General features: G+C 44.5%; 1 protein-coding gene and 1 non-coding gene across 13 annotated transcripts in view; both read left to right on the top strand.

Annotated features, from left to right (window-relative positions):
* GFRA1 (GDNF family receptor alpha 1) overlaps positions 1-23678 on the top strand; it is a 217781-nt gene that overhangs the window by 76649 nt on the left and 117454 nt on the right. The window lies entirely within an intron of this gene.
* On the top strand, positions 3268-3325 carry SNORD158 (small nucleolar RNA, C/D box 158). Its single transcript, NR_145811.1, has one exon. It is a non-coding gene; the product is annotated as a small nucleolar RNA, C/D box 158 (small nucleolar RNA).

Below are 23678 nucleotides of genomic sequence, written 5' to 3'. Positions count from 1 at the left end.
GGAGGAGTTAATGCATCCTAGTTCTTGGGATCTTTTACCACATTTAGTTCTCACATCAGCTTATAGGATCTGGCTCCGTGACCTGCCACTGCTGTCACCACACTGGCCTTCCTGCAGTGTGACTCCCTCACTTGCTCACTCACTTCCACGGGCCTCCATCTGGTCCCTGGGACCTGTTGTCCAAGCCCACGCATGCCTCAGCACTCCGGAATAATCCGCCTGTAGCTGGCCACTCTTCATTAGGCAGTCACATCCTCAGAGATGCTTGCTGTAGCCATCATGGCTAAAGTATAACCTCAACACACTGCCCCGAAACTCTACCCCATGTCCCTGTTTAATTTCTTTGTAGCACTTCTAGTGGGTTTAGTTGTATCCCCCACAAAATTCATGTCCACCTGGAACCTCAGAACGTGACCTCATTTGGAAATAGGGTTAGTCGATGTCTTAGTTCATCTGGAACTGTGTGTGTGTCTGTGTGTGTGCACGTGTATTATATATAAAATACACAGATATACACACATATGCAGATGCACGTGCACACACATGTATAAATGACAGACACATATATATACATAAACAATATACACACATACATTCCAAACTACGATAAAATACCATAAATTGGGTAGCTTATAAACAACTGAGCTTTATTTCTGGCAGTTCTAGAGGCTGGGAGGTCTAAGATCAAGGTGCTGGCAGATTCCGTGTTTGGTAAGGGCTTAATACCTGGTTCAGAGGTGGCACCTTCTAGCTGTGTCCTTATGTGGTGGAAGGAGTAAAGCAGGTCTCTGGTGCCTTTTTGGAGTCCTAAGGGCCCTAATCTCATTCCTGAAGGCTCTGCTTCCATGAATTAATCACCTCCCAAAGCCCCCACCTCCTAATACTGTTGCCTCGGTGATTAGGTTTCAACCTGTGAACTTCAGGGAGACACCAACATTCAGACCCTAGCAATGAAGGATCTTGAGAGGAAATCATCCAGGATTTAGGATAGGCCACAAATCCAAGGACTGGTTGTTCTTCTAAGAGGAGAGGACATGGAGAGAAGGCCACATGAAGACACAGGCAGAGACTAGAGATGTGCTGCCAGCAGAAGCAGGAAGAAGCAAAGAAGAGTGACTTCCTAGAACCTTCAGAGAAACCTTCAGCATGGCCCTCCTGACACCTTAATTTTGATCTTCTGGACTCCAGAACTGTGGGAGGGAAAAAAAATATATATATATATATTTATAAGTATTTTTATATTTATATATTTATATATGTATTATATATTATATTATATACAGTATTATATATATAATATATAATATATATTATATATAGTATTATATATTATATATAGTACTATATATAATATATATTATATATAGTACTATATATTATATATATTATATATAGTACTATATATATATTATATATAGTACTATATATTATATATATTATATATAGTACTATATATATATTATATATAGTACTATATATTATATATATTATATATAGTATATATAAAAATATATATAAATTTATAAATATATAAATTTATAAATATATATTATATATATATATTTTTTGAGACAGAGTCTCGCACCATCACCCTGGCTGGAGTACAGTGGCACAGTCTCATCTCACTGCAACCTCCACCTCTCAGGTTCAAGCGATTCTCCTGCCTCAGCCTCCCTAGTAGCTGGGATTACAGGCACCTGCCACCACGTCCGGCAAATTATTTGTATTTTTAGTAGAGATGAGGTTTCACTATGTTGGCCAGGTTGGTCTCGAGCTCCTGACCTTGTGATCCACTCACCTCAGCCTCCCAAAGTGCTGGGATTGCAGGTGTAAGCCACCATGCCCAGCTGTTTTTTTTTTTTTTAAGACATCAAATTTGTAAATTTGTTGCAATAGTCCTATTAAGCAAATACAGTAGTCAACACTGTCTGAAATTACTTTTCATTTTTTTTTACTTGTTCCTTGCTAGAATACAAGCTACAGAAGTGCAGGGCCCTGGCTGTGATATTCATCCCCACATCCCAGTGTCTAGAACAGGGCCAGGTGTTATTGAATCAGGTGTATTGAACCTTATGAGTGTTCAATAAATATTTGTCAAAATAATTAACCTTGTGAGATAGGATTTGTTGTCTTCATCTCTGGCTGATGAAACATACATTCAGAGAAGTTTAGTAACCCACCCCAAATCAAACGGGGACAGAGTCAAGATTCAAACTCAGATTTTCTGTTCTTAGGTTTCACTGAATAGGGTTTGCAAGTTTGGGCCTGAGCTGAATTGCTGGGAACCAGGCAGGAAAATCTGAGTGCCCAAATGCTGATTTCTCTTACCTTTCCCTGATATAGCAATCAGTTTGTCCTCTACAACAGGAGTTGGAGATCCCTGGGCCATGGACTGGTACTGGTCCATGGCCTGTTAGAAACCAGGCTGCGCAGCAGGAGGTGAGTGACCGGCAAAAGAGCATTACCGCCAGAGCTTCACCTCCTGTCAGATCAGCAGTGGCATTAGATTCATATAAGAGCATGAACCCGATTATGAACTGCACATGTGAGGAATCTAGGTTGCACACTCCTTATGAGAATTGTCTGATTATCTGAGGTGGAATAGTTTCATCCTTAAGCAATACCCCCGCCCCTTGCATGGAAAAGTTGTCTTCCACGAAACCTATCTCTGGTGCCAAAAAGGTTGGTGACCACTGCTCTACAAGAATGTTAAGCAGATATTAAAAGGCTGTGAGTTTGAAGGACACAGAATTAGCAGTCTGGCATGCTGTGTGTCTCAGTCTGGCTGTGAAAGCATAACAAAAAAGATAGTGCTAAGTTAACAGGGCAATTTAAAACAAAGGGAGTTCTTTGTGAAGGTATTAAAGAAAGCTCAATGGGGGAGGTTTTTCTATACTTGGCCATGAAGGAAAAGAAAACATTACTTTAGCACAGGGGTTGGCAAACTATGGCCCAAATGCTGACCACCTATTTTTGTAAATAAAGTTTTACTGAAACACAGCCACACCCATTCATTTACATATTGTTTCTGGCTACTTTTGCACTACTGTGGCAGAGTTGAATGGTTTCCACAAAGACTGTATGGCCTGCACGATAAACGCTGAAAACATTTATTGCCTGGCTCTTTACAGAAAATGCCAGGGAAATGTCTCTTGTTCCTTGTCTGCCTTCTTTCCTGTGTCTTGATAGCAGTTTTTAATCAGAAGTCATAATGAGTGGAAATTTCAGAAATGGTTCTCAGTCTGTGTGGGGAATTAAGATGAAGATATTGATGATGAAATGAGCTGACCAATGGCGCAAAGATGCTCCTAAATGCTGATGTATCTTCTTAATTCAGGCATGTAGCAAACACTTATTGATGTCCTGCTATGTGTGAATCAGTAGGCCAAGGGTTGAATCATCAAAAAAAAAATTAAAGTTGCTCAGTGGGTTTGTTTCTTTTCTAATTATTGAACATTGGTAATCCACAGATGTAGGGTAATTCTGTATCAACCAGAATACTTAATCATTCAGAAACCCAGCTCTCGATCTGGCTAACTATTGTGTACTTAGTTGCATATCGACAAAATCTATACCAGAAATTTTAATTAACCTTTCAAACTCCCTTTCGATTTCTTCAGGATAAATTAGAAAACAGAGTGTCTACTGGGTTCATCTGCAGACAGGGGTAGTTTATAGTTGACCCAGCAAGGTGAGGGTGGGGGTCAGGAATGATTCACTGGAAATGGCTTTGTTTGCTTGCCTATCTGGTGGGGAAGAATTCATGGGTTATTTTTAGATATTGTGTTCTCATTTATCAGTCCACTTTGGCAACATTGATTTACCTAAGAGACTCAATTTGTAAATAGTAAAACAAACTCAGGGGATATTTAGAAACTACTTTCTGCATATTCAGCAGGTCAAGAGACTGCAAAGTATTAGTAACTCACCAGCTATCCTGAGGCTCCTCATTTAAGGTTTTATCATGAGCCACCTTTTTTTTTTTTTTTTAAATTTTATTTATTTATTTTTTTTTATTGAGACGGAGTCTCCCTCTGTGGCCCAGGCTGGAGTACAGTGGTGCGATCTCGGCTCACTGCAAGCTCTGCCTCCCGGGTTCACACCATTCTCTTGCCTCAGTCTCCGGAGTAGCTGGGACTACAGGCACCCTCCACCACGCCCAGCTAATTTCTTTTTGTATTTTTAGAGAGCCAGGATGGTCTCCATCTCCTGACCTCATGATCCACCCGCCTAGGCCTCCCAAAGTGCTGGGATTACAGGCATGAGCCACCGCGCCCGGCCCATGAGCCACCTTTTTATAGAAGGTTAACTCTCCTTGGCTCAGGTCCAGGGCTGGCACAGGTAATCTGGGGAGGCAGGTTGGTCTGGAAGCAGGTCTAAATGCAAGAATACCTCCTTCAAGGTTGGGTTAGAGAGGGTCTGCATCCCTCTCTGTCTCTTCTCAGGTAACAGGACACAGAATTTCCCCAACAAAAGCAGGATTTGTGTCTCTTAGGAGACCGGTTCTTCTCTGCTGGCTACATCAGAAAATACAACACAGATGTGATTGATGGTGAGGGATTAGTGACATTTCCGTGAACTTGGGACTTGATGAAACCCTTTATCTTTTATTCCCAAAGTGTGGTTTTGTTCACCTCATCTCCCCAAAGTGTGTTTGGTTTTATTTCCCTTTGAATGGTAAAGGATATGTTAATAGATTTTTAAGAATCAACTCAAAAAACCCCAAAGTCTTAAAAACGCTTTCTGTTTCTTTTCCCTCCCCAAACTTTAATAGCCCCTGGAGTGGGTGTGGAGGTGGCAGGGGTCCTTTGTATTTTCCAAACCCGCTGTTTGCAGAAATGGCTGTTATGACTGCAGCAACATAATTGCTCTTAAAATGCCTCAATAATAAAAAAAATCTATTTTTATTTTGTAATCTTGAGGCTCCTTGGCTTCCATTTTTCCAGGCCACTTTAGTAACTTCTGAAAATTAGCCTGACAAATACAGTTTCCCAGCTTGACCAAGGAACAGTTGTTTGTTGGAGGGGTTGGCTGTGTGTGTGGAGGGGCCTGGGAGAGATGGAGGGGGTAGGAGTTGTACAAAGCCGGTGGGGATTTGATTCTTAGATGGCAGCTGTTTCTGCCTTCTCTTGACCACTTCAAAGGAAGCATAAAGTATAGAAAATGCACTTTCCAACACTCCCCCGGGACTGCCTCTGTTTCCCCAGCCTTGGCTGAAAATGAAAGGGAATCATCTCTTATTCCTGTTCTGTCCTTGGTGCCCATAACTGCTTACAGGACTGGCCGGGTGGGGTTTCCAGCACTGTGGAGGGTTCAGCCCCGCACTCCCATGGAATTGTCTTTGCTTTTCTGAAACCACACTTTTAAGAGGATGTGCTCAGGGTCACACCAGATGGGCAGGAGCTGGTCAGCTTTGAGATAGGGCGTTGCTACAGGGGCGAAGGTGCACTAGGCAGCCTCTTTCAATTCTCAGAGTCTACAGTTTGACTCTGTGGATTCAGCCTCCAAACAAAGCGAGCTCTGTGTTTGCCTTGGACGATTCATTCACCCTTCACCAGGCCATGAATCGTGTTGATGTGATTTGGAATGACCCCGAAAGTGGGGCCTCTTGGGGAGAACCATTCAGATGGGTTTTCTGGAGCTGGTGGTGATGCTGAGGGCAGGTCTGTGGAATGCCCCTGACACCTGAGGTTCCCCAGCAGCCTATGCTACCCCCTTTCTGCAGGCAAAAGGCCTCATATGCACACCTGTGCACACCCAACGGGCAAACCTAAACTCTTAGTCTTTGGTAGGAATGAAGATTTATTTGTGTGCATTCAGGTAGATACTCCTGGCCCATAGAGACAAGGAATGGGGATGGGGGTGCCCATTCAAAGCTGGGGCATTGATATCAGAGCAGGCAAAAAGCCCCAAACCACTAAGAAATTAAATTACTTCTTAAGTCACAGACAAGGACGAAAGAAATGATTCATTTGGACTATGTAGTGTTAGCCAGGCAACTCCTAACCTTTTTATTTTATTTTATTTTTTAGATGAAGTCTCACTCTTGTCCCCGAGGCTGGAGTGCAATGGCGCGATCTCGGCTCACTGCAACCTCTGCCTCCCGGGTTCAAGCTATTCTCGTGTCTCAGCCTCCATAGTAGCTGGGATTACAGGTGGCTGCCACCACGCCCGGCTAATTTTTGTATTTTTAGTAGAGATGGGGTTTCACCATGTTGGCCAGGCTGATCTCAAACTCCTGACCTCAGGTGATCCGCCTGCCTTGGCCTCCCAAAGTGCTGGGATTACAGGCGTGAGCCACTGCGCCCAGCCACCTAATCTACCTTTAACTGAAAACTAACTCAGACTTGCTTACACTGCCCTGATCCCTGAATAATCAGGTCTTTATTTTTCTTTTACATGCTTTAGCTCGCTTTAAAATGTTTTGAGGATATTTGGAGACTTGAGGAGACAGTCTAGTTAAAAGCTTGTGCTTTTTTTTTCCCCTGGCAATTTGTAAGTTGCCCTTTCTTATAGACAGAAAAGGTAGAGTTACAATTAAGTCAGTCTGTGTGATGCTGTGTAGAGCGTCATTTTTTCACAATGTGCTGAAAAGTTTATTGCCTGGTGACAAAAAAGTCACTCTGATTTCATTTTCAAAAGTTGAATTTAAAACTCAGAATCTAGTTTCTTTATAATTATGCTTCTTATTTGGCAACATATGGTGAAAATGTATACGGCCTATCAATGTGAAAGAACAGAGCCGAGGCTCTAGCCTTTTATGGTGATTACATCTACCTGTATGGGGGCTTTATGTACTTACAATTTGAATCATTTATAGATGCACACTCAACACAGTTCTAGCATAACTAGTACTGTGGGTTTTTTTTGCTGACTAAATGATAGGCAAAGCAATTTTCAACAAATGTCTCCCAGTAGGCTGTCATCATAGAAGGCTTGTAATATTGCTTTTTAACCTTAGCAATGGCAGCTATCCAGAAATTATTGCATTGATACCAAACTGCCTTGCACCAGGCAATTGCCCTTTTCTCCATGGGAACCCGGTGAACTCTCAAGTAGATGCCTGCTCCCCTCCCCTCGGATTCTCTTGTTTTTTATTTCAGGGAGATCTTTTACCTGTTCTTGTTCAGCTGTAGGTAGCCAAGCACATTGAAAGTTTAAAAATACAGCAAAATAATTCTCTGGATTGTGTTATTATGCCTTTAATGCATTCAGTTAACATTTGGAGCTTTGTCACCAGATAAACGGTGCACATTGGTGCACAAAGAGAAAAGGAAGGGCTTTGTTTCCCACCCCTCTTAGACAGAGACAGATCTAGCTTTCGTCTCTCTTTCTCCTTCTCTTCTTTTCCTTTCTTTCACTTTCAGAACCTCTTGAAATGTCTTTGGGGGATTGGTAGATCACGAGTCTGGGGTTTTGGGAAGGATTTGTTGAGGCTTCTGGGAAAGAACTTGAAGGAAGCAAATGTCCTGGGGTTGTCCCAAAGAGGAGATGGAGTGGAGGGTGGGATCCTGGCAGCATTCTTCAGGCTTCTGCAGGACCTTTAGTTTCTGGGCCTGTACCTTTAGGGGAGCTCTGGGGAAGGCCATGTACCCAGGCTCCCTTTCCTTCTCCTGTCTGTAGAGCACTGGCTTGGGATAAAGGCCGACTTCTTGAGAGCACATTGCTCTTTGTGAATTTCAGCAAGTGGAGTGCGTTGATCCACTCTCATGTCCAGGTAGTGAGAGGAGCCATCTGGTGACTACTGACCTCTAGAAGTTGGATTTCAAACACCCTCTAAGTGTTGAGTACACCTGCTCTGTGCCATGTTGAGCACCAAGCACTTGAAAGGTTTGGCTTTATGAGTGCAGGGGAATTGCCAGCAGTTGGCACAGGGCTTATTGAAGAGAAGTACAGTCAATGTGTTGAATGAATGATGGCTTCTCATTCGGTGGGAGAATGCTGTTGTGTCCAGTGCCATGTTGGCTGCAGGCTTGGCTCATGAAGCATTCCCCAGCTGCATCCCAGTTGCTGTGCTTTGGTTTTCTCCTGAGTTCTGGTCCCGCTCTCTGCCTCGCCTGGGGCTCTCATCAGGCCGGAAATACCTCCCTAGGGAGCATTTGTCTTCTCATAGAGAGCTTTGACCATCTTCACCTTCATCAGGAAAAGAGACCTTAAAAAAAAAACCCTGGCCTAATGCATTTGCCTTGACCTTCTATAATGATGAGTGTTATAAATGGAGAAATAGATAACTATTCTATATCGATGGTTCAAAGAAAATTCTGTCTTTGGCTAAGAAAAAAAGCATTTTACTGGATAACACTGGAAATATAAACTGTAATAGAAAATCAAACTCAAAGCATTAAATAAAATAGTGGAAGTCAGTGGTTCTCAACCTCCTCTTATTTCCATTGCTTAAAAGAGATTTCATTCAATAATAATGAATGAATGAATGAATTTCAGAACCTGTTTATGTAATAATTCTGCTATGATGGACACTTAAAGAGAATTAAACTTAAGATAGTTCATTTATCTAGTGACAAATGTAAATGTTGCACGAAAGTGTGAAACGTGTTTGGAGCGTAGCTGGAGTGAAGGTGGCGGGGGAATCAAAAAAAGAGGGAAGAAGGGATGAGTGTCACTTCTCTAAGACATTTGGGAAAAGAAACATACATGAATACACCAAAGAGCATGCTGGGGCTCAGGGGACGTTACTCCTTGGGTAAACAGGACGTGTTGGTCAAGGAATTTCCTTGGAAATAGTGTTTCTGGAGTTATGATTTGGATGAACAAAGGCACTGTGGCATTAGGTGCCACCTGATAAGATCTGCCCCCCAAAACAGTTGCCCTTCGTGGGGGAAGAAGGTGTATCCCACCTTTAAGTCTATGAAGAGGCATAACCATTTTTCTGCTTGCAGGTAATTCATTTTCTGGCCCAGGAAGAATGCTGTGATCACTTGCCTACTTTTTTTTTTTTTTTTTTTTTTAAGAGACAAGGTCTCCCTGTGTTGGCCAGGATGGCCTGGAATTCCTGGCCTCAAGCAATCCTCCTGCCCCAGCCTCCCAAAGTGCTGGGATTAGAGGCATGAGCCACCATGCCTGCCCCCACCCTTATTTTTTTTAAATTGTGATAATAAATACTGTAGATAACATAACATTTACCTTTTTTTTTTTTTTTTAAACAGAGTCTCACTCTGTCACTCAGACTGGAGTGCAGTGGCACTATCTTAGCTCACGGCAACCTCTGCCTCCCAGGTTCAAGTGATTCTCGTGCCTCAGCCTCCATGTAGCTGGGATTACAGGCATGCACCACCACGCCCGGCTAACTTTTTTTGTATTTTTAGCAGGGTTTCACCATGTTGGCCAAGCTGGTCTCAAACTCCTTACCTCAAATGATCTGCCCGCCTCGGCCTCCCAAAGTGTTGGGATTACAGGTGTGAGCCACCGTGCCCGGCCCAACATTGACCATTTTAATACGCTCGTGAGTGGACAATTCAGTGGCATTAAGTATATTCACATTGTTGTGCAGCCATCACCACCATCCATCTCCAGGACTTTTTCATCATCCCAAACTGAAACTCTATACCCATTGAACAGAGAGCCCTCATTCTCCCCTCCACCCAAACGCTGGCAACCACTGTTCTACTTTCTAGCTCCAAGAATTGGACTGTTCTAAATACCTCTTCTAAGTGGAATAATAAACTATTTGTCCTTTTGTGTCCAGCCTGTTCCACTATTGCCCACCTTTTTAAGACAGATTTATCACAGATAAAGAGACTGCATGCCAGAGAGCAGGGACGCAGGTCCTCATTCCTCCGAACCCTCAGATCCCATGGGCACCTCTGCATGGGGTTGACCCCCCATCCCACAGGTCTCAGCTTAAATACTGCTGCTGCAGAGAGGTCCCTCCCCCAACCATTCCACCTGAACAAGTCCGCTTCCCTCTTCTACTGGCCCCTACATCCTGCTTGCTCCCTTTCATTTCCTCTGTCCCAGTATGTATTATATATAGGGTTGTGGTTTCCTCCTGATTGGCTGACTGGGCAACCAGATTATAAGATCTGAGAGGCCTGGGATGTCTACTGTCTAGATTCATATCTGCCAGTTACACTCAGTGCTTACCACCCAGTCAGTGCTCAGTAAGTACTTGCAGGGCGTGGGGAGGGGTGAAGAATGCATCTCTGTCTCCAGCCCTGGCCAGGGCTCTGCTCTGGGGGCCTCAGAGGTCAACGCAAACTTACTGCTGCCTTTTTTACTAGAATCCTCACTGCCTTCATCTAGATTTTCCATGGCCAATGTTGAGATTTCAACAGTTACATTTCAACTGCTGCCCTTTCATAGCCTGACAAGGGTCTGGATGCTTTCTTTGTGCCTTTCTGTGGATGGGTGCTCAGGGAAGATAAATGAATTTTAATATTAACCTAAAGAAAACACAGTTAAAAGCTAAAACTTGCATAGAAAAGTCAACCCTTGCATTCTTGGGCCAGATAAAATGGCTTTTGGGTGAGTTCCTTCATTGGATTATCGGTGCCACTAACTCCTAGATTATTATGTTAATTTGGCTTTATTAATATTAAAAATAAGATAGTTCTCAAGCCTGGAGAATTAGAACGTAACTCCTTGAATAAGGCTGATGTCTTAGACTGTTAGTTTTAGAAGGGATGTCACTGAGCACTTCGTCCAACTTACTGTATGAAGGAGAAAATTGCAGGCAGGTGACATCAGGGGCCACACAGGGTCCTGCAGAGATGCTGGCCGAGCAGACACTGGAGCTTAGGGCTCCAGCCTCATGACCTCAAATGGACATTTTTGAATGAAAAAATAATAGACAAATACGAAGTATTCACAGAATATTTGCATTCAGGAGGAGTTAAGCCTTTTTCTAGACTACTTGGTGCTTTTATTAACTGATGCAAGTATTGCATTCATCATTTTTTTCTACTTTGTTGCCTTTAAAACCCTGTCTTCCATTCAAATGTAATGCTTTGATCATTTAAATAGCACAGTTATCTGAACACAACTGTGAAAAACCTCACGTTATTCCTTCATTGAGTTTTAACATTAAAATTCCCAGGAACATTAGTGGTTCTTGAAAAAGGGACCGAGACGTGACCCTGTGTGAGCAGGTCGCCTTCCAGTTTTCACCATAGCAGCATGGAGGGGCACTAGCTTGAGCTGAGGTGCAAGAAGCACTTGAAGTTTGCTTTCAAGCTCGCAAGGGCCGGGGTATGAATTGCAGTGAAAATTGTTCCATTTCTTTGGGGAGAAAGTCCTAGTCCTTATAAATATGGTATTCTCATTTGTCAAGAGAATCTTATTTCTTTTATGTTATGTTCACCTGAAATACAGTAGGAGTTTGCTTGTGATTAATTAAGCAGATGATAAATGGCACTTAAAATGAACATTCAGCACCTCCCGCCGCCCCCCATGTGTAGACAGAAAACAGAGGTAATTGGATGGGAAACAGTATGGCATTTAAACCTTGCCTTTTTTTTTTTTTTTTTTTTAAGAGCCTTTCCTCTGCCTTATGCAGATAAAGAGAGACCGGCCTTTCAGAATTGTGTAATGTCCCAGACATATGTGGAAACCAATCAGTTGTGCCTGCTCCATGCCCTCATTTTGTAAGTGTGCCTGCTCAATTGACTGTTGGCAAAACTGTGCTCAGTGGCACATCAGTCGTTAGGAGCTGCCACCACCTCTGTGTGAAGTAACGTGGCTTTTCTCTCTTGCCACTTAGTTCCTTGGGGAGGTTGCTTCGGGGAGTTACATTTCACCATTGGTGAAACACAAACCTGTTTGGAAAAGGCAAGGTTGTCTGGGACTGTGTTAACCACATGAACCCTCAGAAGCACCTCTCCTTCCCAAGGACTGTCACTGGTACAGTGAAGCCTGGTGCCATCTCCGGTGAGCGCTGGGGGCTCTCCTCCCTGTGCTGCCACTCTGGGCCCTGCACTAAGGGTCTGGGCAAGCTATAGAATAGCTGCCGCAAGCTGGTCCTGTGTTCCAAAGCTCTGGGAAGAAATTCCCCTTGGTTCTTGCTCTCCCACCTACTACCCCCCTACCTCCCAAAAATAATAAAGTAAAATAAAATTTAAAAGATAAAAAGGGCAGCTTTCCTGGAGGTATACCAGACTCCATGTCTGGATATCCACTTGGGGTGCAGCAGAGTCCATGCCTAGATATCAATCCAGTCCTGTGGGACATTGTGAGCAGCACAATTATAATTAAAACAGCGACAATAATAATGGCACTTAGGCTTTATTGCCCTGCTAGTGTTCCACAGACTCTGAGGTTAGAATTCCCGTGCAAATGATTTATTAAGGAAGTGCTCTCTGAAGAAACTAATAACGGAGTTGGGGTGGGGAGCAGGACAGGGAGGGGGAGAAGCCACGCATGGGAGCAGATTCAAATGAGGCCCTGTCTGATCCCAGGAGGGGCTCCAGAGCATAAATAATCCCTGAGATGTATCCTGCCCAGAGGCAAAGAGCTGGGCTTCTGAATCCAACACTAGTCAGTCATTGATTATGGGGCACCTGGCCTCAGTGGGGAGTGGAGGTGTAAACAGGCTGGGCAGCTTGGTGCCAGGGGTGCTCCTTTGAGGGCCACAGGTGCAGGCTCTGAGCAGCAACACGCATGGAAGCTGGTGAGTGGGTTCAAAGGAGGTGCGCCGGGATGGGGTGCTGTCTTATGTAGCATCACAATTAATGTGGGTGGCACTGTTAATAGCCTGTCTTACAGATCATCAGCTGAGCACCTCTGTGCATCAAATACACAGCTCCTCCAAAGCCTGGAGATTTCATAAAGCAGGTGAGGAAACTGAGGCTATGAGAGGTTAGGTAAGGCATCCAATATCACAAAGTTAGGAAGTAGCAGAGCTGGGATTTAAGCCCAGGTCCTGTCTCCTCTCAGTCTCTCTCTGTCTGCCTCCCTTGCCGACGCATTCTCATACCACCATGCTGTATGTTACATTGCAGTAATTACAGCCCTTCACTAGAACAAGATTCTCTCCTTACATTCAGAACAGCTAAGCTCTGCAGGCTTTAAAAGCCTCAAGGAAAAAAATATATTTTTCGATGGAAAAACACACACAAAAAAGCTTGTATTTTGAGGAACAGAGGTGCTGGATTGATGATGCCACCTCTGGAGCTACATGAGGGCCTAAAAAAGGCCTGTGTCCTGCACTGCCCTACAGATGGACTGTGTCTGTTGGGGACATGTGGGCCCTTGGTGAGAGCTGTCCCACCAGGGAGACTCTACCCAGGGCTCTGGTTAAACAGCCAGGAACACCGGTGACCAATGTGACCTATTTTCCCAGGACCTCCTGCCTTAAGAACTGGAACTAGCCTTATGTCCAGGCAGAGAAATTGCCCTGAGACAGGCCCCAGATCTCTGCTGTGACCCTCTGATGAGACATGTTAAATAGAGCCTGAGCAGCTGGCCGGGAGGCCCACCTGTAGTGCCACCTCCTCTTGAGGTCAGAGCCTGGTGAGCAAAGCAGCTTTTTCTGGTGGCCAGATGTCACCCCTGGCCTGCTGGGAGTTGGTTTGGGGCTGTACCCAGGGCCGCAGGTCCCTGCCAGGCCTCATGAAGGAAGATGTGTTGCTCCACTGGGGAAGCACAGTCATTCGTCATTAGCATGGAGAGTGAGGGAATCTCTGGGAATGGGACACTGATGGATGCTGGCATGTGGGCCCAGGGATAAGGCTGTCACCTGCCCTCCTCCAAGCTGCGTGGACCTCTCCATTGGCAGCTGGCCAGGAGATAACTGGCCTGGGCAGCCCATAACATTTGAGGCCTCCCCTATGCCATCTGGAGGCTTTGGTGGGCAGCTCCTCTGATGCCTGGAGATTTCATAAGCCAGTTGCTAGAGGGTCAGGAAAGCTGCCTGTCTGAGTCAGTCTTTACAGTGTAGGGAGAATCACAGGGTCTGTTACTATGCATTTCATGAACAATTGGGCTGATGCAAAAACAAATGACTTTCTTAGAAGACATCCAGAGGGAGTGGGTACCACATTTTGTGAAAATGTTCCATGCAGCCTCGGGAAGCACTTCCAGCAGCCAGTGCCCTGGAGTGCTCCCAAGCAGTGCTGTGCAGGGTAGCTGGCCGAGTCAGTGACCTTCACCTAGTAAATTCCAAGGCAGGCAGTGGAGTGATTCATCTGGGGAACTGGAGACCTGTCCCAGGTCCTGATAGTGAGACTGAAGCATTTCCCTGGGGATAATGAGAGGGACCAAACACTCTCTCAGCCTTCAGGAGCTTAGACGGAAGTTGGGATCAGTAAGTGGGCAGAGATGCTGTCCTGCCCTGTTACAGAGGAGCCTGGGAGCAAGGTGCTGAGTGTTAAGAGTAGGTGAGTGAGCAAGAGGCAGAGAAGGAGGAGGAAGCAAAAGAAGAGAGAAGACCAAGTGTCCCAACCTGCCAGAGCCCAGGGCCTTTCTGGAGAGGAGAGGGCTGGGGAAAGGGAGAACCAGCAGTGCTGTTCTCTACCCTCCCTGTGCCATGCCTTGGTCTTCATCCATCAGGCTCTGCCCTCTTGGTGCCTAAAACTACTCAGGGGTGGGAGTGGGGCCATGATTTCAGGCCAACCAGGTTTCACATTCACATAACTTGCTCTTGATTTTGAGGAAGTGAACCTCTGTGAGCCTGAGATTCCCCATGGAATGGATATAATAGAGGGAAGCTCATGGGGCTGTGGAGATGATTCCCTGACAAACACATTTAAAGTCTCAGTGAGGATAGGCTGTTAGAATTGGGTTGGACCCATTGCGGTAAGCTCCCTGAATGGGAGTTGATTTCCAGTGTGGGGTACTGTCTTTACTCACCAAGTCTTGTCTGACTGAGGAGAATCAACTTTGAACCCCAGGCCCAGCGGGTAAAACAACTTTCCTCATGCTTCTGGAGTGCACTGAGGAAAGATGAAAGGAAAGGAAATTGATCAACACTTGCTGTACTTGTTCCCTCTGAGGAAAAGAATGCATGTTTCCTTTCAATACTCAAGACTTGGGAAACATCAAGGCGGCAAAGAGAAATGAAGAGGGCAAAATGTGTCTGTCCAGCCAGACATTTGGGAAGGCCCTTGGGTAGCCTTGATTCCAAAAGGTCAGTTACACTGTGCCAGGTCATCACAGACACCTGGACTGCCTTTGGCTGGATGGACGCATGGGGAAACCAGCATCTGGAGATGTCTTCCAGGAGCGCTCAGCTCTGGCTGATACTTGAAGGGGATGTCATTGTTTGATACCTTAGTGACTGTAACTTTCAGACCTGGGCTTTGCTCACTTCCTGCTGCCCATCTAAGAAGGGACCTGGGTATCTCTTGGAACTGGCAAAGAGAGTCAGGTTCATTGCGTTTATCTCCTTTGCTGATATTTGGGAATGGGATGAGCTGGATTTCTAGCGCTTCTAGAAATCTGACATGAAGCAGATGGCAGTTTGTTGACACCTGTGTCACTGAGCTGCTTTTTGGGTCATTTCTGATTTAGAAGATGGGAACAGCTTGATCTGGTTGGAACCAGTCTTAGCATCTAGGGAGTTCCTTAATGTAGTTTGGTGAATGTTACTGGCCACAGTATCAAGGGCTCTCCAGATCTGCTCATTCTGCAACTTTCACAAGTGTTTGTTTAGGCTTTTGACTTCTGGGGGCTGGGGGTATGGAAGAGAGTGATTACAAAAAGAGTAATATTCAGTCCAAGCTCTGCCACTTAAAATATTTGCTCTTAACTAAATATGCAATACATGTTTTCTTTGTATGGTTTCTGGACAAAATATAGTTCCAGCAAGTTAGTTGCTGTATTAATTACTATTATTGTTATCATTAGGTCAGTTAGTCATTCCCCTTGGTTTATGGAACACTATCATCATTGCACTGTACAAGGGACAGTCCTTTTCATTGGTTTATCTGGATTTTTCTCCCTGCACTCCCCATTTCTGCCCTCCCAACCTTTGCCCTCCCCATCTCTGCCCTCCCCACCACCCCCAGCCCCCAGTTACATATGTTAAATCTGTGTTCTTTAACATATATGCATTCTTGAGCAAGATACTCATGTGCCCATCTTTGAAAAAATGCAAATGATATTTCACTACAGAGCTTGCTGAGTTTCTTTCCATTTTTACTCAAAACAAAAAGATCAACTTGGCCAGGTCCAGTGGCTCACGCCTGTAATCCCAGCACTTTGGGAGGCCGAGGCGGGTGGATCACGAGGTCAGGAGATCGAGACCATCCTGGCTAACACAGCGAAACCCTATCTCTACTAAAAATACAAAAAATTAGCCGGGCATAGTAGCGGGCGCGGGCGCCTGTAGTCCCAGCTATTCAGGAGGCAGAGGCAAGAGAATGGTGTGAACCTGGGAGGCGAAGCTTGCAGTGAGCCGAGATCATGCCACCGTACTCCAGCCTGGGTGATACAGTGAGACTCTGTCTCAAAAAAAAACAAAAAAACAACAAAAAAAAACCTCATATTTTTGTGTATATAGCTAGCTCACTGCCTCTGCTTCAGAAGGTTTTTGATAAATTCTTAAAAGAAAAAATGAATAGCTCATCGAGATATTATTGTGGCCATTTTATAGATAACTAAACTAAGAAGCTCAGTCCTCCAGCATGAGGACAGGTGTTGAGATGGATGGCAGAGCTGGGCCTTCCTCCTGACTCCTGGCCCAGGGTCCTTTCCGTTGTGAGGCCAGCAGTGGTGACTTGTGTCTGTAAGAGTCTGGCCTTCGTGGTCCTGTGGGTGCATCTTTTTCAACTTCTTGGGCCAGAGGCTGAGCACCTGGGCCTTTGGCATCTCCTTGCCCCATTCTCTCATTCTGTATAGATGACTGCCTACAAGCATTTCTACCCCCATTTCCTGATGTCTGCTTTTCAACAAGAGATAGCAGTACCTCCCACACACCAGAGCAGAAAGTAATATCACAAGCACCTTATTATACCTATAGGCATAAGAATAATAACATCTTTGTACCTGGGTTCCCAGAAATGGAGTCCAGTAGGCTTATTTAAGCTCATTATTGTCATCCACCTCAAGAGCGTCATCAAAATTGACTCTCTACCAGGAACAACATTGTTTATGGACTGTAACTTCATGGGGTGATTTAGAAGGATGGAGAAGATTGGGCTTCTGAACCCAGTCCCTTTTCTTGCTAAAATTATGGATCCATAAAAGGCTTATGGAAAGTATTCAGAAATAGAACAAAGATCTCAGGAAAAGGTTGCTTTCTAGAAAAAGAGACTGCAGACACAGCTTATAGAAGGGTCTAGAAAGAACGTTATTTGGAGGGGTGGTGGAGGGGTGGTGGAAACCCAGAGGGGATGGAACGTCCAAATGAAATGAAGAGCTCCAACCCCAGATTCAAAACCCAAACAGAGCTCTTAAAAAGAAACCATGAAAGAAAGGGATAGAAGGAACCTAGAAACAGGCAGAGAGGCCAATGATTGGCCGTGGGTGGGTATAGAATCTAGGAAGTGAGGATAGGATAATTAGTTGTAGAGAGAAAAGTTACGAAGTTGCTGACAGAATTGGTAGTGACTGAATATTGAGTGAAGGTTGATACATAACTTTAATCATATCATTCTGTTATTTGTTACTCTGTTACCATCCTTTTTATTTAGTAACTGAATAATGAGCAAGAGAGTTGATATTGATGAAGACCTTCAAGGCACAGTATTTATCATGGGACCCAGCTTTCTTGGAATATGTGTCAGGGAGCATAGATTCACAAAAGAAAATTTTATATTTGTGAGGACAGTATAAGTATTTGGCTTGTATTTATGTCCTCACACGCTACACAAATAGGTTTTCTGTCCAGTGTGCCACAATTTATGCTGCAGAGTCTTATTACAATATTGTAAATTGAGCTATGTATGAATTTTCCTCTGGAAATACCATTATTTTTTCTGAATGTTCACCTCAGCCAGGCACTTTAAAACCTTTGAGTCAAAAAGGTGGTATCTGAATTAATTATATATTTGTTCAGAAAGAAATATTTGCTGACTGGCATGGTTTGGAATAATGATTATTAAGGAATCTAATTCATTTGACAAATTGCGGATTGCCGGAGATACAAAATTCTCAGTGTGGGAAACAAAATATCTCCTTTGCTAGGTCTTGCTTGGTGGGTGACACCAAGCATCCCTGTTTCATTTCCAGAGGATGGTGTGCAGGACCAACCTCTCTGGGCTAATGACCCTGGAAACTCTAGAATTTGCACCTTGTCTTTCTGTAGGCACAAAACGTGCATCTCTGTATACAGCATCTGCTCGCTTCCAAAGCCCTGCTGATTCTTCAGAACCTTCAAGAATGGGACAGTTCACCTCTAGCCACTATTTAGAGGTTTTCCTAGTGCTGTCTTTGTGTGGAGTGTCCTTTCCAAGCCCTCTCTTCCTATCAAAAACTCATTTATCATTCTATGCCCAAAGCAGATCTCTGTGTCCCAAAGCACTCAACCCAAAAGGCCCACCATATCTTCTGTCTCCAGTGTCCAGCTCAGGTGTCTGTGTAAACAAAAGGCAGTATATTGAGACGGTGAAGAGCATGGATTCTGGAACGAGAACACCCAGGTTTAAATCCTGGCACTACCACTTACCAGCTATGAGACCTTGGGCTAGTCACTTCATCTCCATACTTCAGTTTTCTTATTGTAGTAAAACTCTGCAGCATAAATTCTGGCACACTGGTCAGAAAACTTATTTGTGTAGTGGGTGAGGACATAAATAAAAGCCAAATACTTATACTGTCCTCACAAATGTAAAATTTTCTTTTGTGAATATATGCTCCCTGACAATGGTGATGAAAATAGTGATGAAAGTACTTACCTCGTAGGGTTTGTATGAAGACTTAATTAGTTACCATTTTCAAGGTGCTTAGATCAGTGCCTTCCAGACAGCAGGTTTAATGTATGAAATAAAATCCAGAGATGTAGCCATTTGGTGCTGAGGCTGTGATTGGCTGGGTTTTGGGTTGTGTTTGGTCTTCTCGTCTGGACTATACGTTGCTGAGGGGCTGGCCAGCCTCTGCTTCTGCTGTGTAACTTCCTCTGCATGAACATACACCGTGCGCACCAGCAGTCGGTAACCGGGGGAGCAGATGGGATCCAACCAGGTAGCAGGTACCTGGCTTGGGGAGAGCTCCAGGCTCCTGAAGCAGGTGCTCTCCACCACAGGACAGAGTGCTTCGATGCACACCAGACCTTCAGAGGACCGACTGAGATTCTTCTCTTAGTGCCCCAGAGAAGATGATCCCATCAGAGAAGGACCCTAAAGAGAATGAGAGAGAAGGCCCTTGGTCTTTAGAAGAGACCAGATGGTATTGTTCTGTTAGAGTACCACTCTTCCTTCTGGAGTATGTTTCTCCAGCCTCGCTCAGGGCTCCCTTGGTTTGAGTGTATTTGCCGATGCTGGCGAAGACACACACCGTGGGTGACCCCAGTCAGATCAGAGTGGGGATTCATCTCTGCCCTCTTCTGGGCATCCACTGCACGGTATTCACCTCTTCTAGAACTCTTAGTGAAGTTGTTCATTGGATATGAATGTGTTTTCTGCACCCAATTTTGAAAGCATAGATTGCATCCCTAAACTGCTACATTCGATTTTTGAAGTGGTACACTCGCCGAGTACCTACTTTGTAACACACAGAAAAGTGTAACTCAGCCTGTTCTCAACAAGCTTGGCATCTGGCCAAGAGACATTCAAATAACAATAAACTCAAGACGTAGTTAATGAACAGTACAAGACAGTACAGACAGGACGTACTGTAGGAGTTTGAGGGGAGTAAAACGCCCCCCCGGCCCCTTGTGGGCTCACATGCTCCAGGGAAGGGCTCTTGGCACAGCCAGCATCCTTGTGTTTAGGGGATGCAAAACAAATAGTTCCTAATTCAGCTTTATTTGAAAACCTCCCAGTTTCCCAGTTGGGAAAAAGCCAAGCCCAAACAAGATCTGCATGTAGTTCAGCCTTAGGAACACGACAGGCAGAACTGTCCTCTGCTTTTCAAAGTGTGCATTTTATACATCTAATTTTATATGTCAACTGCGCATACTCAGAGAAAGATACCAAAGTCTAGATTTTGAAAATGCAACTGAAGGAGTAACTGTTGGACTCTGCCGTTAGTGGATATGGCAGAATTAGCTCAGGGGCCTGGGGTCTCTAGAGGGTTTGCTTCTGGCTTTGAGTTTGTACCATGGCCCTGGCTCTCTGGTGGACACTTTCATGGCACATTCCCTTTCCAGCTCAGGTGCTGGGACACTTGGCTTTGTCCTCAGTGGGCCAAAGTGTGCAAGTGCATACACTTCTTTGTCAGTAGGGAGAAATAGCAGGGAGTGGGCAAGTTGTTGATTATTAAGTTATAGGGATATTTCTCAGATATTCAGGAAGTATGTTTACGTTTCTTCTGCATGTGTTTCATTTTCCCAGCTAATTGCCATCTCCTCGATGGTACATCCTGCTCCTTTGGAGAATGGGAGTGGAGAATTTGTGCCTCCTTTCCCCATTCTTCATACTCTCATCTGCTCCCAGGGTTTCAGTTACCCACCTGTGTTATGACAACAGCCAACACTAGCCAAGACCCTCCTCCCAAGCTCCAGGTCCTTATTTCTAATGCTTCTCTCTGAGCCTCCCAAGCTCATGAGCACCCCTAACCCCAAGGCCTGCCCTGTTGCTGTGTTTCCTATTGCAGATAGTGATGCCACCTTGGCCTGAGCTTGTCTGCCATTCCTGTGTCTGTTCTCTTAGCCCAGGGCCTCATTATTTTGCCTAGACCATTGCATAAGCCTCCTAATGGGCCATTTTCTCTCTGTCTCCTGCATCCTGTCTTCTACACCGTCACTCAGGTCGCCTTTCTAATTCATAGATGTGCTCCTGTCATTGTCTAGTCAGAAGACCCTGGATGACTCCTCATTGTCTGAGTAGGGAGCCTGCATTTCTTATCAGAGCCTGTGATATTCATCATAGTCAGGCCTCCACCTTTCTTTTCAGCCTCACTTTCTGCCCCATCCTCTGTGTTCTAGACACACTTGACTTTTTACCTGGCCCTAAACAAGCCAGGTAAATTACAGCCTCTCTGTTTTTGTTCCCATTGTCCATTGATCTCTGTCTCCCTTGTTTACCTAATGAAGGCCAGTTCATTCTTCAAGACCAGCTTAAAAGTTCCTTCTCTGCAAAGTCATGTGCCTGGACCACCGCTCCACTGCAGCGTCTGCCACTGCCACACTGCATGGTGATCTCTTGGTTGTCTATTTGTTCCTGGAAGTTAACTTCCTGAGGACTGTCACAGAGTCTTATCTTTTTAACTCCAAAGCCTTGGCCATGGTAGGCCCAACATTGCTGGTTGTGAGGAAGGAAGGAAGGAAGGAAGGAAGGAGGGAGGGAGGGAGGGAGGGAGAAAGGGGTGTGTTAGGCCATTCTTGTGTTGCTATAAAGAAATATGTGAGGCTGGGTAATTTATAAAGAAAAGATATTTACATGGTTCTGGGGGCTGTACAGGAAGCATGGTGCTAGGCATAGGCTCGGCTTCTGTGAGGCCTCAGGAAGCTTTCAATCATGGCAGAAGGTAAAGGGGGAGCAGCATTTGATGTGGCAAGAGATAGAGTGGTGGGGGGAGGTGCCACACACTCTTAAACAACCAGATCTCCCGAGAACACCATTGCAAGGACAGCACCGAGCCATCAGGGATCTGTCCCCTTGACCCAAACACCTCCCACCAGGCTGCACCTCCAGCATGGGGTTTACATCTCAAAATGGGATTTGGAGTGGAGGTCCAAACTATGTCAAGAAGTGAAAGATGGAAGAGAGGAATGAGTGGATGCCTTTGAGAGTCCTTAAGTGTTCATGCAGGCACTTTTGTTCCATCTTCCCAAGGTCTAAACATGTCACATACTTTTTTCAGAGCGCCGACACGTAGTAGGCTCTTAGTAAATATTGGCAGATCGACATTTTTCACAAACATGTGACATTTATAGCTTTAAAATCCTTGGGCTATAAAAGCATAGGTTCATACTCTTTCTGCTGATAAATTAACAATTCTGTTTGTCATCTTTTCCAAATAATACTGCATTTGCTGCATTGTTTGTGGCGGAAACGATCAGCCTGCATCAGACATTAGTAGCCCCTATTTTTTTTTTAATTCACTTAGGAAAAAGCTGAAGACAGATCATTTGGTAACCAGCTGGGAACTCCACCTCACATGTGGGCCTGCTTTTCGACTTCATGCTTAGGTCCTGCAAAGTTGAAATGGGTAGGTCCCTTTGGAAAATAAGGCAATACACATAAAAGGAGAATAACCAAGACTTTCATTTCCTCCTGAATTTGAAAAGCAGTGCTGCTGAATGCTTTGTTTCCTTTTATTACCATATTGACGTTTACGTTTTGTAACTATGGTCATGGAGCAGTCCCTTGGTGAGGGGTGGGAGGTCACCCTTTCCCCATGATAGGACAATGCCAAACAAAGGGACCCTGACGATGGTAGAGGTCTGGGCTGGCTACCTTGCCGATTTTTCTGAAGCTTTGAATGTAGCTTACGAAGCAAAGCTAGCGAGAAAATTCTGGATGGGGTTCCCAGGCGAGGATTGTAACGAGCATAAAATCAACTAACATTAATCTCGCCCTTTAATGATCTATGCATGGTAATCTAACATTGCATTTTTTCCTCCTCCTTCTGTCCTTGGCGGAAGGCAGCCTGCTGAGCTCCTGCTTGCTCAGGCTTCCTGATAAATGTCAAGCCATCTCTTGGAGCTGGGACGTAGTTAGACAGCTAAGAAGTCACATATTTCCTCCAAGTTATCCTCTTTCCCAAGGATATGGCACCATGTTGAGGGTAAAGCATTCCACACTAGGCACAGAACAGACACTATTAACCTGGAGGAAAGCTGACATTTCTGCCGGCTGCCGCAGTGTTGGTATTTTATTTGCTTCCCTTGGGGCCTGACTGCATCCTTCGTCTTCCTGGTGATGTGCCCAGGTGAAGCTTAAATGCCATGTACAGGGTTTCTAACAGGTTGCGGAAGAAAGAAGCCGCAACACACGGGGTATGCCTGAGTGAGATTTCATTTTGAGTCCTACGAAAGAGGGAGCAAGGACTGTGCACCTGCCCCTTTAAACTGATTAGGACAGCGCATTTGCAGGCAGGATCCGTGGTGGGGCCTTTCTCATCAGTTATAAGGAACGGTGGTGCAAATCTTTTGGAAAAAATACAATAAATCCATAGCTCACTCAGAGCCAATTCTATATTATATTTTGCTTTCAACGTTGAGAGAGAAAAATCATGTTTTAAAGCTTATTAAAATGTTACCCATATAGATAGTTTTTAAAGATAATTTATATTAGCACTGGTGCATAACCTTTTAAATTAATAATTCAGAGCTGTGACTAGAGGTTTCAGTAATCTCTAGTAGTATATTATCTGACTGTTCCACTGAGAAATTAGCACTTATGGACTAAGGTATAAAATTGAAAAATCTAACCCATTTGGTAGTCTGTTGTCAGCTATGAGAGCCTTCTTAAATGGAAGCCTATTAGTGTGAGAATTCTGATTTCTAGAATCAAATCTGTTTTAGGTCATTATGGAGTTTTATAAAGAAAGGCCTCTGCTGCCTAACAACACATTGAAGTCTTAAAAGTAGGCAGACTATTGATTTTTAGCAAGAGTTTTACTGCCCCAGACGCTGAAGAATGATTCTCGTGACTAAAATTTATAGGTTATTAAAGAGAAGA

The sequence above is a fragment of the Homo sapiens genome, chromosome 10 (assembly GCF_000001405.40).
Source record: "Homo sapiens chromosome 10, GRCh38.p14 Primary Assembly".
Classification (NCBI taxonomy): Eukaryota; Metazoa; Chordata; class Mammalia; order Primates; family Hominidae; genus Homo; species Homo sapiens.
This window is presented reverse-complemented; position numbering and strand designations above follow the sequence as displayed.